Source organism: Homo sapiens, chromosome 7, assembly GCF_000001405.40.
Source record: "Homo sapiens chromosome 7, GRCh38.p14 Primary Assembly".
In the NCBI taxonomy this organism is placed as follows: domain Eukaryota; kingdom Metazoa; phylum Chordata; class Mammalia; order Primates; family Hominidae; genus Homo; species Homo sapiens.
Genome location: NC_000007.14, coordinates 121,107,312 through 121,124,623, shown reverse-complemented (window position 1 = coordinate 121,124,623; position 17,312 = coordinate 121,107,312). Strand labels below are relative to the sequence as shown.

Genomic DNA, 17,312 nt, shown 5'->3' with positions numbered 1-17,312 from the left:
ATGTTTAGAAGATCATGTTTGTATATTGACATAAAATTTTCCAAGTACCACCTACTTATGATAATTAAGATACATTTCCACCAACAATTTTTAAAAGATAGGTTGCTTTCTTTCTTTTCTTTTTTTTTTAAATTAAAATTTGTTTTTTACCTATGGAAGGTCTTTGGTCCCAGAGTAGATGTTTCACTGAATACTTCAGCCGCTAGCAGTAGTTTGCCAATTGCTTCCTTCATAATGTCAAAAGCCTGTTGAGGTGAACTGGCTCTCAGGAATGTCTCAAAAAATGTTTGCAGCTGTGAACAAAGTAAAGGATTCACGTGTTAAAACAATAGCCTCAGTTTGTCTATCATTTTCAAGGTGACCAATTTGAAGGATTGTTCTAGGTTATCTCTACTTGTCACACCCAAACCCCACCCTCACCTAATCAGTAAGTTTGGTAATCTAAGATACAGGTATATTGAAAGAGAAAGGTTTAAATGTCTTGTAATTTAAATTTCTTTAGAAATGCCTACTCCATTTATTTTCCTCATTTCACAGCATCTAATCGTGGAAAATGCAAGTCTTGTCATCAGAACTCCAAAGTTTCATTTGTAACTCTACTAACTAGGTGAGCTGGGCTTGCCACCCACTGCTCAGAATCTTTGTGTCCTCTTTAAATTGGGATTAATATCTACCAACAAGAGAGATGTGAAGCCAAATTAGAAGAAAATGTATTTGAAAGTCATGTTAAAGTATGAAATTCAAATGTTAGTTTTTTATTATTATCAATTTTGGGGGCATATTAGAACAAAAATAAATATATCAAAGTTGCTTCTTCCTCATGCCATTATTCTGTGCCAGATCTAGCCAACCAGAGAAGACTCTGAGAGAATCCCAGTGTCCTGTTAATGTTTTAATTCTTAATTATTTCATGTGATAGGGCAGTATTACAAAAAAGGGGGAATGAAGCTCAATTGTGTCATCTTAAAAACACAATTGTTAGTATCACAAATAGCTGTTTTTATTTGCTTAAATATTAAAATGACAAAAACAAAACTACCTCTTGAGGATGCTTCATATCAAAGTTCAAGTGAATATTTTTTAAAAATATAAAACAAATCTCATATTGATTCATAAACTTTCTCTGGATAAACATACTCTTTTAAAGATGAAGAACAAAAAATATTTTTTGAAAAAACATGCAGCAGGTATTCTATTAATGTTTTTTGGAAAAACAGACTAAATCTATCCAGACTACACAGGATTGCAAAGTGAAAAACTTTTGTTGCTATGATAAAGAAGGACAAATATTGGCCTGGATTGCCTGTGGAAAAACGGTAAATGTGTCTTCTCAATGCATAAGCAAAATTCCCCCAAGATAAACAAATACTGGCTTCATAAACTTTCCAGTTGAAAACAGAAACCTAATAAGATTACACATAGAGACCCTAAGAATGCGTCATTAGTATTTGGCAATTGGGATGTTCTTCCATTTTACTAAGGAAAATAAATGTAATAATTGTATGATTGAAAGAAAACAAATTATTGCTAACACTAAAAATGTTAACACCCTTGATTCAAAGCAGAGTAACATTATGTTTTTCCAAGTAAAAGTAACTCATTATATTTCATTCCTTTCACCATATTATGTAGAAAGGTTTGTGTGTGACATTGTTGCATTTTTCTATTTCAATGTTACCTGAATATCACAGAGGTTAAGGTTAATAATATATGAAAGTTGGAAATGTCTATGTAGCATATGAGATAAGATAAATTATAAGATTTTATCTCCATGAGGAAGAATAATTAGCAAATTAATGTCTTAGGGTTGCACTTACTTCTCTAAAATGAAAATGATTATTTCTTAATTTCTTAATGTAGCAGTGAGCATTTAAATATGGGATGCCATTCAATTCAACTTTTAGAGAACTGTAGCCTTTAGAAAGCCCTGTGTTCTGTGCTTTGGGAGACAAGTTGCATAGTACATAGGTATTACCTCTACAGACTCTAGAGGTAAAAAGGTCCAGGTTCAACTTTGGTTTTGTGCCAAAGTTGTGAGACTTTGTGGGATTAATAACAGTGCCTACTTTATAGAGGTATCCTTGAGATTAAATGACAGAATGTACATAAGGAATTCCACCACCCAGCACATCTGTATTCAGTACATGTCAGCTCCTTTTATTTTCTATTAATTAAAACAAGACAGCCGGGCATGGTGGCTCACGCCTATAATCCCAGCACTTTGGGAGGCCAAGGCGGGTGGATCACCTGAGATCAGGAGTTCGAGACCAGCCTGGCCAACATGATGAAACCCCATCTCTACTAAAAATACAAAAATTAGCTGGGAATGGTGGCACACATCTGTAATCCCAGCTACTTGGGAGGCTGAGGCAGGAGAATCACTTGAACCAGGGAGGCAGATGCTGTAGTGATCCGAGATCACACCAATGCACTGCAGCCTGGGTGACAGAGCGAGACTCTGTCTCAAAAAAAAAAAAAAAAAAATCCAGATGAGTGTGATTTCTTCTTTTTAATTCATTCAGTATAGTGGCAAGCAAACTACATATGCTAGAAATTAAAGTAGAATCACGCGAGTGCTTCATATGAATTTTTAAAAAATCATAAACTTTCAAAGTCTCCAAAAGAAGGCACAACTTTTATCAGTTCTTGTAACTAACTCACTTAGACTAACTAAGTGAACCACTTTTTTGAGTGTCCGGTTACACTGCAATTTGTTACTCTAATTGTATTTCCTTGGTCAAATTACATGAGTTCTGTGAGTCTCAGTGCAGAATGACAGAACTATGCTCAATGATCTCATGAGACAATGACAAATCTGAAATTATTTGATGTTAATTCCATTCAAATGCCACCAGAACCTGAACAATTTCACCCATGCACTTTCTTAACTCACAAATACCTGAAGGAGCACTTTCACCTTTCCTCCTAATTTAAAACAGTCAAGCCATTAACTCAAATATTAAGGAGACTTCTTCCTCTCCTTATCAACACTTCCAATCAATGTTTTTCAATTAAATAAATGTGAGAATATAAGTTCGCAAGGAAATCAGTATATTGGCAATAAAATAAATATGAATAAAAGAACATCTTGTAACTTTTAACATGACATGAAACTATTTTATAAACTATAAATTTTCTTCCTTCAGTGTAAATTTTAGTGCAAAATAAATTATATAGAAAATGACCTCATAAGATCATGGTCGTAAAACCAGTCAGCTAATGCATCATCATTTGTTTGTACCTGTGTAAAATTCAAGCAATAACTAGTAAGGTATTTACATTTTTACAACATTGATCCATTCAAGCAACTTATTCAGATACAAGTGGATGGACTTAAATTTTCAATTAATTAAAAATGGAAGGACAAGAGCAACAGAATGCACTTAAAAGTATATAGAAAAACTTGGATCATGTCTGATATCTTTCCCAAGGTGTCCTTGTTATCTACTTCATTCCACCACATATTTTACAACTCCTCCCATGTTATGTTCTGGGTTCCGCCTCATTATTTCTCTCCATCCTCCCATAAGACCTTGCTTGAGTGAATTGATCTCAATGTCAACACATGTCATTTGTTCTGTGTTAAACTTGCCAACCTTCTTGTCTGCTCTTTCTGCTAGACTGTGAGTTTTTTTGTTTTTTTTTTTTTTTTTTTTTAGGTCAGGAACTGTCCTATTTTATCTTCTGGATTTCAGTGCCTAATGCTAAGTAGGTATTCAGTAAATACTGTTGAATAAACAAACCTATGACATTACAGAAACCACAGATACCTTGATAAGAGAAACACCTTACTGTAGTTTCTGGGTAACATCACTTTCCTCAGGACGGCATGCTTATCTCTTGCTCCCATCTCATGAGAGAGAGAGAATATAAATTTTTCTGGTGTCTTGTAATAAAACCTTTGAAGAATAGAAGCCTACAGCTGTTTGAGAGAATTTTAGAGATAAGAAAATTTAATCTATGAGTTAGAATGGAGGATGAAAGATTTACTAATATTAGGGTTTTTCAAAGTAATGTTCTTGAATGAGAAACCGGAGCAGAATGTCATGTTTAACAGCACTGTACCGTACTAAAGTATACCAGGGTTTCTCTTGATGTTACTATGTGTCAAAGAACTTTTCATCTTCTCAGATTAAAGAATATTGGTACTTAAGTCATATCAGGGAATGTTGGTACTTAAGGTCATTTTGCACCAGCATCATATTAAAAAGATGCTCGATATCACTAATCATTAGGGAAATGCAAATTAGAACCACAGTGAGATATTACTTCACACCCATTAGGATGGTGACTAACAAAAACAAAACAGAAAATAATCATTGGTGAGGATATTAAGAGACTGGAATCCTTGTGCTTTGATGGTGGAAAAGTAACATGGTGCAGCCACTTGAATAGCAATTTGGTGGTTCCTCAAAAAATTACAAATAGAACTACCATACAATCCAGCAATTCCACTTCTGGGTATACAGTCAGCATAACTGAAAGCAGGTCTCAAAGACATATTTACACACCCATGTTCATAATAGCATTATTGACATTTGAAGGCAACCCAAACGTGCATCAGTAGATGAAGGGATAAACAAAATGTAGTATATGCCTACAACAAATATTATTCAGCCTTAAAAAGGAAGGAAATTGTGACACATGCTACAACATGAATGACCCTTGACAATATTCGCTAAGTGAAATAATCCAGTCATGAAGACACTGGATTATTCCACTTATGTGAGGTATCTAGAGTAGTCAAATGTATAAAAACAGAAAGTAAAATGTGGTTGCTGGGGGCTGGGAGGAGGTGGAAATGGGGACATGTTTACTGGGTATATAATTTCAGTTGTGCAAAAAGTTCTAGAGATTGGTTGCACAGTAGTGTAAAAATACTTAACGCTACTAAAGTATACACTTAGAAAGGATTATGATACATTTCACGTTACATGTATATGACTACAATTCAAACTTTTAAAAATAACTTAATAGAGACTGTGTTAGCCAGGATGGTCTCGATCTCCTGACCTCGTGATCCGCCCGCCTCGGCCTCCCAAAGTGCTGGGATTACAGGCATGAGCCACCGCGCCCGGCCAAAACTCTTAAAATGAATCTGAAGTAACCCAAATACCTCAGAATTTCATCCTAATATTTTTATATATGAAAATTTTGGGGGCCGGGCGCAGTGGCTCACTTCTGTAATCTCAACACTTTGGGAGGCCGAAGCGGGTGGATCACGAGGTCAGGAGTTGGAGATTAGCCTGACCAACATGGTGAAACCCCGTTTCTACTAAGGCAAGAGAATCACTTGAACCCGGGAGGCGGAGCTTGCAGTGAGTCAAGATTTTGCCACTGCCCTCCAGCCTGAGAGACAGCGAGACTCCATCTCAAAAAAAAAAAATATCTTTTTTAGATTGTCCTATATTTCGCAATAGAAAAAAAGTTTGCAAATTTAAACTTTAGAATTTCAGTGACCGTATGGCTCTAAGTTAAAAAAAAAAAAGTTCTTCCAAATAGTTTAAATTATTGGTCATACATAATTAGTCAGAACAAGAGAAATACATTACAAATCATATTAAATAATTTATAGAATAAAAAGTAAAATTGTATTGGAAATACAGCTCTGATTTGTCTGAATATATGTCCCCACCAAATATCATGTTGAATTGTAATCCTCAGTGTTGCAGGTGGGGCGTGTTGAGAAGTGTTTGGGTCATGGGGGCGGATCCCTCGTGGCTTGGTGCTGTTCTTGTCATTGTGAATGAGTTCTCAGGAGATCTAGTTTTTAAAGTGCGATGCCTCCCGGCCATCCCCTCTTGCTACTGTTTTCACCATGTGAGATGCCTGGTCCTCCTTTGCCTTCTCTTATCAGTAAAAGCTTCTTGTGGCCTCTCCAGAAGCTGAGCAGATGCCTGCACCATACTTCCTGTACAACCTGCAGGACGGTGAGCCAATTAAACCTCTTTTCTTTATAAACTACACAGTCTCAGATACTCACAGCAACACAAGAATGACCTAATGCAATCTCTCAGATAGATATGGTTTTTTTTTTCTTTCTCTCTCTGTTTTTTTTTTTTTTTTAGACAGAGTCTTGCTCTGTAGCCAGGCTGGAGTACAGTGGTGTGATCTCAGCTCACTGCAACCTCTGACTCCCTGGTTCAAGTGATTCTCCTGCCTCAGCCTCCCAAGTAGCCGGGATTACAGGCATGCACCACCATGCCCAGCTAATTTTTGTATTTTCAGTAGAGACAGGTTTCACCATGTTGGCCAGGCTGTTCTCGAACTCCTGACCTCATGATCCACCTGCCTCAGCCTCCCAAAGTGCTGGGATTACAGGTTTGAGCCACCGCGCCCAGCCGGTTTCTTTTTATTCAATTAATTCATATATCCATTAAAAGAATGCCACTTAATGCTAGAACAAGAAGAGTTCAGCATCAGTATTAATATTTTAAATATAAGAACGAAGAAAATTTGTTCACATAAATACACAGACGTGGATGGAAGGGTTTAGTTATAGCAACATGGCTCAGTTCTTTCAACTCCCTCCAAGGTATATGTTAAAAATCACATAGTGGTTTATCATGAAATATTCAATCTTGTTAAAAACAAAGAACTGAAAGCAACCTGAATTGTGAAGGATTTGTTACCTAGTGATTGGCATCCTTCACTTGCTCTAAAGAACAACATAGTTAAATTTTCTCTTTTTTTTTTTTTGGCAAATGTTTTTTCACCTTTGAGTAACCATCATTATAATATCAGAGCTAGCAAAAGCTGGTCTTTCTTCTGAAGAGCAGAAGGATGTATAAAAAGAATGGGAAAGAACAACCTGCTTTAGAGGTATCTTTTCAGCAAAATCAAACTTTAGAAAGTTTGAATGTATGATCCGTATGAAAGGTGAAGTTCTGGGCAGTGACTCTCTCAAAATTGTCCATGTGCCTCTGAGCCCCTTGGGGAGTCATCAGGGATCCCCAAAGGCATATGACACCCAGCTCTGGATATGGCTGCCTGCCTCCACTCCAAAATGCATCTGAGAGAGCTGTGGCCAAAAATGAAGTGCTAGTGAACATCCTGGACCCTTGGAAAAGGAAGGTGATTTAGAAGGAAAAAAATCAGATTTTTAACAATAGAAGAAAAAGAGAAAAAAAGATTAGAGAAATGGAGAAAAATGACTAAATTACAAACCTAAGTAGTGATATAATTTTTTAATTTAATGTACATGTTGTATTTGAATATAATTTGGCCAGGTGTGGTGGCTCATGCCTGTAATCCCAGCACTTTGGGAGGCCGAGGCAGGTGGATCACCTGAGGTCATTAGTTCAAGACAAGCCTAGCCAATATGGCAAAACCCCGTCTCAACTAAAAATACAAAAAGTAGCCCGGCATGGTGGTACTCATCTGTAATCCCAGCTACTCGGGAGGCTGAGGCGGGAGAATCATTTGAATTTGGGAGGCAGAGGTTGCAGTGAGCTGAGATCATGCCACTGCACTCCAGCCTGGGTGACAGAGCGAGACTCCATCTCAAACATATATATATATATTTATATATATATATATATATATAATGTGTATATATATATAAAATGTGTGTATATATGTGTGTGTATATACATATAATGTGTGTATATATATGTGTGTGTGTATATATATGTGTGTGTGTGTGTATATATATATATATAGAGAGAGAGAGAGAGAGAGAGTTTCTATGTTGTATTTAATAATAATCACTACCCTTAGCCAAGCTGACACTATGTGGCAGACACTGTGCATTTTACATGCACTGCTTTGTTTGTATTCATAGCAATGCTATGAAGATGGTACTCATCATTCTCATTTTATAGATGAAGAAACTTGGGGTTAAGAATGCAAGGTACACGCCTAAGGTTATACAGCTGGGGGCAACCAACATGGGTATTGAAGCCAATCTGCTTTGCTACAAAGCCCCAGCATTACTTCTGCCTTTGTGTTTTTGATCATATTAGGTTTAGGACTATGGATGGACCCTGAAATCCAGAAGAATGAATCATCTGTATTTTTACTTTCATCTAAAACATGTTCAAAACTGTCACAATTCTCAAGCACATGCCTTTACACCCACACAATTAACAACTCAACAACTTGAGAATTTATGTAGCCTAATTACCTTTTGGAAAAACTAAGAATATTTCTTTGTAACTTAAATCAAATTGCCTAGATCAAGAAAAAAATTCATGTTAACTAAAATGATTTAAGAATATAAATACTCTCATCATTTGTTTTAGTTCACTGAAAATTGGCTTGCTTTAGTGTAAATCACAGAAAACCAAATTGGCTGAACCTAAATTAGGATACTTTTACTCATTCCTTGGAATTATATTAAAAACTCCAAAATTTAAATAAGTTTTCTGTTTCCAGTGACATCTATAATTTTACTCATTCGTACTTCTTAACAGCCCTAAACTTTATAGCATATATTAAACTTGGAAATTCAGAATGTAGATTCTATACAATTTAATCAGTTTCATAGCTGAAAACTTTAAACTCTCCCACAAGCATATAAGGGAATTGTTCAGAAGCAGAGTACAGAAATACAAAAGGCTGTGAATAGAATAAAAATTTAATTATTTGCTTTGAATGATGGACCCTTGATTGCATTATATTCAACCTTCTTAGAAAACTGGCAGGTTTTCTTTATTATCCCTTCTGGAATTTCTCAGTGGGATATAAAGGAGCAGAGAGATTTAACAGCAAAGAGCAAAAGCTAAAGTTGTAAAGATTTTATCATTGAACTCTCTACGTATATGCCTGCTCATTTTCTTTATATGAATGCCATTGTTCGAGCAGGTCACAACTATTTCTATTAAAGTTAAAACCAAGCCTTCTTTGAACTTCCAATAATATAAGGTCTGACAGCTTGTTTGAAAACAATCCATCTTTTATTAATTACCTTGACTAGAAGATGGCATTGAAATCCGGTAATATCTGTACTAAGTAATATTTGTTACAGGCAGTACAAAAATTTGCAAATAAGGATTCATTTGGCAGAAAGATACCTATCTCATATCTCTAAATACTCTCAAATGAGTAAGAAAGTAAAAAGGGAAAATGTTTTCAATTTATATTCTGGATATTTTATGCAGGGTATCTATTTTAGGTCTTATTAAGTTTCCTGGTCAATCACAAAAGAAAAGGAAATGTATTCATTATAAAAAAAATCAGTTCTGGTTGTACAATAAAGAACATGATAGAGCAATTTGCCCTAACTTTTAAGTGGCTGTAAAGTCTTTTGAATCCATAGGAAATTTATGACAGCTCTCTGCTGTTTTCTCACACCTTTCTCATGTCAGTTACCTTACACCTCTCTCACACCAAACAATATTTCATTCTTTTACATGGGCTATTTTCAATTATGCTTAATTATGCATAATTTAAAAGTTCATGATTTAGCATCTGGTCAAATATAATGCTAGATAGCCCAAATCCATGTCATCTCCATGTGCCCTGAGTACTGACTACTGACTTCCCTGCCCTCAATTATTTTTTCCATTGCCACCAGTCATCATCTTTATGAAGGCCAGTTCCAATCATGTCAGTCCCCTGCTCATAAAGAACAGAAGTCCCCAACATTTACAAAAGGATATGAATCAATTGTAGCTGAACTTATCTTGAACACTCCAAGTCAGCATATAAAACCATAAGGTGTTAATTCATTCACGCCTGAAGGACATAACAATTAATCAACAGACGATTATGCATGCGCATACGTTTATGCACACAGTAAACAGTAGAAGTACCTTTATCCTTTTTTACTACAAAAGTGCATTATTTTTATATGAGAACTCAAAAAGTGATACACCCAATTCTTAAACTTTTTTTAAAAAATAAAAAAGAATTAAACCTGTATTCCTTTGTCAATCTTTTGACATATGGCCAAGGCCTTTGACTATGGGTGAACTAATTGGAATTGCAAGTCATCTAACTTACAGAAACTTTACCCATAGGCATGGACTTAATTGCAATTAGACCAAGAACACAAAGACACTTGCAAAGAAATCCCAGGGCAGAATCATTCTAGGTTTTACAGCTTCCCCCTAAATTTTGAAAGTTTTTATACCCACATTTAATTCATCTGAAATGTTTTAACTCAATTGTCCTATATTGATGATGTTATAAATATTCAGCCTGCTTTTACAGAAGCAAGTCTGTCTCTTTTTGCACTTACAGTTCATCAGTTCATGAAGGTAGGCATAGAACTCAAGGGTGTAAGGGACAAACTTGAAGGTAGCATCCTTGCCTCAGGCATTGAGCTCTTGGGTTCAGCAGTCAATAAGCTTTATGGGGGGAATGCAGAGCAGTACTATAAGCTGTCAGTGGTAACTAAGAGAGATTTTAGTCACTGGAGATCTGAGTCCCAATCCTAACCACATTTATTAGTTCTGTCGTCTTCACTAAATCATGAATCTGTACTTCCTCATCCATAGAGTGGATATAAACCTCAATCTATCTCCTGGGTTTCTTAAAAGTTTCAAATAAGGCCGGGCGTGGTGGCTCATGCCTGTAATCCCAGCACTTTGGGAGGCTGAGGCAGGTGGATCACGAGGTCAGGAGGTCGAGACCATTCTGGCTAACATGGTGAAAGGCCGTCTCTACAAAAAAATACAAAAAACTTTGCCAGGCATGGTGGTGCGCATCTATAGTCCTGGCTACTCAGGAGGCTGAGGCAAGAGAATCACTTGAACATAGGAGGTGGAGGTTGCAGTGAGCCGAGATCGTGCAACTGCACTCAAGCCTGGGCGACAGAAAGAGGTTCTGTCTCAAAGAAAAAAAAAAAGTTTCAAATAAGACTATATCTGAGAATACATTCAGAAGTGTAAAATGACAGTAGTGTCACTTTACATTTTACATTCCATGAAATTCAAGCTCTTCAGGTTTCGTCTCCAGTATATCTTCATCTGGTCTAACCTACTCCACAAATCCTGTGTCTCTTTCTCTTCCTTCCTTCCTTCCCCATCCCTCTCACCTCAGTCCACCCTAGGATTCTCCCTTCTCTTAAGGACATTCAAATTCTGGCCAAATAAGGCAGTTTATAGTTCCAAGACTATAACCTATGTTTTCACCTGCATGATTCATGCTGTCTTGGCAAAGCAAATGTAAACATCCCTCTTCATTTTTAAAGAAACCCTACTCATTCTTCCAAGCCCAGCTAAAATACCATCCATTCTATGAAACCTATTCACTTTCTCCAGCCTGAAAAATTCTCTCCTACTCTTCACTGTCTCTGCAACTCTGAGTCATGCCTTGCATTCTGCCCTGTATTAGAGTTATTTATAAATATATAACTCTCCCCCACTGGAGGGTTCTTTGAGAGCAAGAACCAGTATTTCTCTTTGAGTCTTTCTTCACATGGCCCAGCACATAGTAGGGATTTCCAAACAGTTCTGGAGTACAACTGAGTTGAATTAGCTGTGAATGATTACTGAAATATTCAATATTGCTTTTCCTTGAGTTGTTTTGGCTCCATGATCATATGAACAAACTTATATATGCAAGAAGATATAGATTAAATGCATGAATTTTCAACCTATTTATTGTGGGTGAAATTATACTGTTTCTATACCTTACTTAATGAAGGACATATAACCATTATAAACTTACTTCTCTTTTAGTCGAGAAGTCATCAGTCAAGATACTCGTCCCCACTTCCCACTTCTCTTGTTTTCCCTTGCCCCCAATTTAAATATTTCCCTATTCTCACATTTAAATTACATCCTGCCAAACCTGCTGGTAATCTGCCATAACATGAAAGTATTTCATTAGTGTGGCAGTTTGCAAAAAAATGGTCACAAATTCTTCCTATCCCAGTATGCACACCCCTTCGCAGTGTGACTTTGCAGCTTCTCACATCCAGTGGTGGAGTCTATTTTTTCACCCCTTTAATCTTGGCTTATTCATGTGATGTTCTTTGGCCAATGAGATATTTAGCAAATGTGATGTAAACTCCTTTTGCTTTTTAGGACTTCTGTAACAAATTGCTACAAACGTCACAATTTAAAACTAGAGAAATTTATTCTCTTGCAGTTTTAGAGGCTAGAAGTCCAAAAGTCAAGATGTCCACATGGCCACGTTCCCTCTTAAAGCTGTTAGGGACAATTCATTCGTTGCCTCTTTCCGCTTCTGGTTGTTGGCATTCCTTGGCTTGTGGGTGCAAAACTCTACTGTCTGTCTTCATCTTCACATGAGTGAAGATGTGAAGATGTATCTTCTCCTTTGTGTGTCTTCTCTTCTGTGTCAAATCTCTCTCTGACTTTCTCTTATAATGACATGCACAGGGCCTATCTGGATAATTTAGGAAGATCTCATGTTGATATCTTTAATTTAATTACACCTGCCAAGGCCCTTTGTCCAAACAAGATAATATTCACTGGTTCTGGAGGTAAGGATATGGACATATCCTTATGGGGACAGCCATTCGATCTACTATACAAGCAAAAACTTTGAAAGGACTTGGCCTTTTCAAGTGGCTTTGTTCTCTTGCAATTCTTAAGAATCCTGAAACTGCCACTGTGTAGCGGAACATCAGGTGGACTACAAGACGATGACAGGCACATGGCCAAGTCATCCCAGTGGCCCTAGCTGATACCCAGCCAATATCTAGGAGCGTGAGTGAAGGCAGGCTAGACTACCCAGCCTCGCTTAGCCACCATCTGCCTATAGAGATGAGCAGAGCTGGTCCAGACAATTTATAGAACCATGAGAAATAATAAATGTTTATTTGAAGTCACTAAGTTTGGAGATGATTTGCTCTGCAAAAGCTGACTGATTCAATTTGCCTTTTATCATTGTTTAAATTTTGTCTTCATTTCTCCTCTTTTTGAAATGGAGCCCGCATCTCCTTCTCACACCTCTCATATGGAGAAGGTGATCTAAGAACCTCATGTGTTTTTTCTTTTTTATTTTCAGTGCTTAGAATGCAACTTAAGCCTTGCTGATTCTGATTGAGTTATTTGTTTCAAACTTCTCTAACTTCACTCTGGCTTCCATCCCAAACATTGAATAGATTGAACCCTTTTTAGGGTGAGCATTTTCCTAAGCATGTTCTCACCTTCTTATCTGAATACATCACACTAGACCACTCTACTATCCTTCAAAAGATTAGACTTGTGATTTGAGGCACCATCTATTTGAAAATAACCCAATTTTATGGTGGCTGAGAAACAGGCACCCCTGCCAAGGCTGTTTTTATAGCAATGGGTACCTGGAGCTGTGGGAACCTCCCTGTCACACCAGGATGGGCAAATAGCTACAGTTATTCTTCTATTCATTTAGAAGTGGTAGGATACTTCTGTTGGAAATAGGGGTTACAGTGACTGGGGAGAAGAAAGGCAGAGAGAGGAAGTGAATGGAAAAAGAATCACCAAATTGTCCAGGAGAAAAATTTTCTGGTAGGGCCTTCAGTCAGGTTACAGAGCAACCAAGGGCTGAGAAGAGGTAGATGAGTAAGAACCAGCCTCAACAGGTAAGCTGCTGTATGAACAGGAACCTGTGTGCCTCTCCACCTCCTCATTTCACATTTCTCTTTCCCATTCCTCCTCCTGACTGGTTGCTCCCCCATCTGATCTCTCAGTCAATGGCACCACCATTCAAATAATGGCTGAAGAGTCATCCTTGAACCCTCTCTCTTTAGCCTCTCACACCCCAACACCAATTCTTGTTTCTACCTTCAAAACGTATCCACATTTCTCCTTTTTTAGACTACCATATCTCACCAACCTAGATCAAGCCACCATGCTCCTCATCTGGACCCCTGAATGGCCTTGCAACTGGTTTCTCTGCCTCTGTTCACAATTCTCTTCAATCTGTTCTCCACAAAGCAGCAGAATGGGCTTAAAAAGTAAATCAGATTATGATAGCCTCCTGTTCACTATCTTTTAGAGGCATCCCTTTGCCCATAGGGAAAAAATTCAATTTCTTACCTTTCCTGACTCCTGTGTGATTGGGCTCTTGCCTTTCTCTCAATCTCTCTACCACTCACCCTGTGTTCAACATGTTACACAGTCAGTGGTTGTGGCATTCTCTGAATATGTGAAGACTCTCCTACCTTTGGAATTGTCCTTTTGCTGGGAGTATTTTACTGTCATCTCTTGAAATGGCACTTAGTCTCATCACAGAATTATAGCTCAGATATCACCTATTCAGGGCAATCTTTCTACCTCTCATAAAGTGGGCAGACCAGTTAGTTCCTAGTCAACATCCATCCTGTTCATTTCATTCTTAGATATATTAAATACCTGTAACTATCTGAATTTCTTTATATGTGTATAATTAATTATCTGTTTTTCATCTGTCATTCCATACAAGAATAAACTTTACAAAGGCAGGGACTTTGCCTTGTTTCCTGCTATGCTACTGGAGCCCAACATAACATCTAGCATATAAGAGGTAGCCGGTAAATACTTGTAGCAGGAATCAAAAGGCTAATTTAACTCATAGGAAAACCATCCCTATTTTATAGACATGGAAAGTGGTCCATAGATGTAAGCAGATTTGTCTAAGGTCATAGAGTTTGTACAAGGACTTTCTTACTGCACACCGATCCCCAGACCTGTAGAAGTATGGCTTGGGATTTTTCTTTTCTTTCCTGCATATCCAGTGCTATAGATCTAATGCTGGTGATTTATTTCTCTCTCCTTTAAAGTAAAAATGCAATTGGATATTTGCTTATTACTCAGCCTGAAAGGATGTAATCATCGTCCTATTCATGTTGTAAAATCACATTTCTTTAACAGTAACTCCTTGAAGGCATGAAAATGAAATATATTTCCTTAGCATAATGTTTTTCTTCTGTGACTTCTGAGTTTAAAGTAATGATTTCTCTGTGTGTGATTTGAACAAATATTCTTCATGTAGATAATCTGAGTAATCAAGCACATAGAAAAATTCTTATACCTTTCAAATATATCTGAAAAAATTTCTAGTAGAAGTTATTCAGAAGTTATTCTACTAGAAATTTCTACCAAAGCATCAGTTTGGAACAGTATGTTTTTTAAACAGATTGATGAGGCTATGGTACCTGGAACTGTTAGATTCCGGAAAACTAGAGACCAAATAAGAAGAAGCTGATGTAGAGGGGAAACATAGTGCATATGAATACGGATATATATGTAAATAAAGGGATGCTTGGAATTTCCTCTCCTGTTTGAAGTCCCTTTCTCTAAATTTTAAAGACTTGCTTCATCGAGCTTCTAAGAACTGCTTTTACAGGCTAGGAATAGGGAGTGAAAGGACAAATTGTTTTGAGACAAAGAAGACAGAGTGATGTGTATAGGAATGCTCTGTGTCAGCCAGTGACGCAATGAGAGAATGACCGCCCTATAGGCAGACGCTCCATAGAGATCTAACAAAAGCAATGAAATACGTCTTTATGTTGCAGAAGGTAGAGAATACAAAATATATCTGAAGAGTCCTGGGAGAGAATCCATTTCTGCTGCCTCAGTAGCACTCAGAGAAATAAAACACAAATTTTCAGTTCTATATCATAATATCAGGTCATTTAGATAATTTAAAGGAATTCCAGTTAACAGCAGATTTGAGGCTCAGGTTGTAATCAAATAGAAGTAACACAAAAGATTCATGGGTACAGTAGTGCAGTCTTACATGTTAAGTATAAAATGCCAGCTCTAACTGTACAGTAATTTTAAAACTGGTATTGTGTAGTAAGTTTAAAACTATGTGTTGCAAAATCTTTTTTGTTGTTGTTGTTTTTCCAAGGAAAAAAGTTTAGGTCTTAATTTTTGGGCAATGGGACAGGGTGGTGTTTTTGAGCTTGTGGTGACTGGCTTAGACTAGAGTTTTATGGAAATCAGTCCAACATCCCTGACATATTTTGTATGATCTACACATAAGACAGTATAGCATGTTTATAAGTCATTTCTTCTAAGTCAGTATTCCATATTCCATAAAAATATCCTATATTTGTGTACTTTGCATATTTATACCACTCTCAAGTAAATTCCTTGAGGAGAAAGAGCTCTAGAAAATATCATTGAATTTCCTTATATGAAAAAAACATTACAAAATGTACATTTCTTCACTTAAATGTATACTCACAAGTTTATGACTAATAGGCTTAACTTTTCCATAGAAAAAAATTAAGATTATTATATTTTATGATATGAATTTGAGCTGGAAGAATGAATTTTCTTAACATATAGTCATCTGAGGGATATCATTCTTTAATAGCACTGCATATTAAATTTTACAAAGTGTTCTTAAGTGAAAAAACAATGTCCAGTGGCTGGCAAATGCTGAAATCATTCCAAATAATTGTGTGGCCTAGGTAATTTAAATTGTAGTGAGGAATTATCATCATTCGCAATCTACTTAAAAGCACAGCTTTCTTACTGTAAGTATGGGTTATAAAATAACTTTTTTAAAATAAATATGTTTAATCCAATGGGGGAAAAATGCTCCATGCTTTGCTAAGCATTTTTGCCTTTTTTCCTCTTGCCATTGGACAGCTCAGACTATTTGTACAATAGCAAAAAAGACCACTAGGGGGCAATACAGTAATTGTTTTGCTCCATCTCACTGCTATGTAGGCTTCCTTAGTGAAAAAAGATTGCTGTTTCTTCTAAATTTGAAACCACATTTTAATATATGGAAGGAAAAAGGCTGTATTTCATTTTAAACTTACAATGAATAAATCACATAAGACAAATGCAAGTCAGATTTTCTCCTGAAGGGAGCAAAAGCCTGTCTTCCTTCAGCAGACAAATCAGTTTTACCTAGTTGGCACATTTGAGGATATTTTATATTTAGAATTTGTCAGCCTTTGAGACAGATCTCAAGGAATAAAGGATATTGTTAATAAAAATCTCAAAAATGATATACATTTAATAAGTTTCAAAACGTACTGGTAAAAACTTACTTTTTTTCTATACCCAAAGTAAAAGTGTAAAAATCATTTAACTTCCCCACTGAGTAAATATTCTGTAATAAACTTAAGCATTAAAGCGATTAATTTTTGGAGACAATTACTGCCATTATTTTCACTGTTATTACTTTGCACCCACATACCACTTTGTAAAGGAGTTATTTTTATTACTAATTATTCTTTTCAGCAATTTGATGAGTGGAGTCTCTATTCTAATTCATTTCTCTCTCCCTGAATCGGCTGAATATTAGCTACTATGCCAGGCACTGAAGATTTGTTTCCTACATAAATAAAGAATAAGCAAACTCTCTTCTTTTAAGGATTTCAAAAAGATTTAGGCAAGTAGATTTTTCCTCTTGGTTTTTGTTCTCCTGTTTGCTGACTTCATGTGATTTTTTCCTTCCAATATATTTTCCTG

General features: G+C 36.5%; 1 protein-coding gene across 5 annotated transcripts in view, besides 1 other annotated feature; it reads right to left on the bottom strand.

Moving 5' to 3' along the window:
- CPED1 (cadherin like and PC-esterase domain containing 1) overlaps nucleotides 1-17,312 on the bottom strand; it is a 308,732-nt gene that overhangs the window by 172,819 nt on the left and 118,601 nt on the right. For all 5 annotated transcript variants that reach the window (NM_024913.5, XM_047420856.1, XM_047420857.1 and 2 more), the window contains one exon: nucleotides 151-293. In NM_024913.5, the coding sequence (NP_079189.4) occupies nucleotides 151-293 (143 nt within the window). The remainder of the gene's footprint in view (nucleotides 1-150; nucleotides 294-17,312) is intronic.
- Nucleotides 16,550-16,599: a silencer, noted in NCBI's record as "silent region_18574". NCBI's record gives its function as "represses an Ori minimal core promoter by ATAC-STARR-seq in GM12878 lymphoblastoid cells {active_cell/tissue: GM12878}" and the evidence as "EXISTENCE:reporter gene assay evidence [ECO:0000049][PMID:35858748]".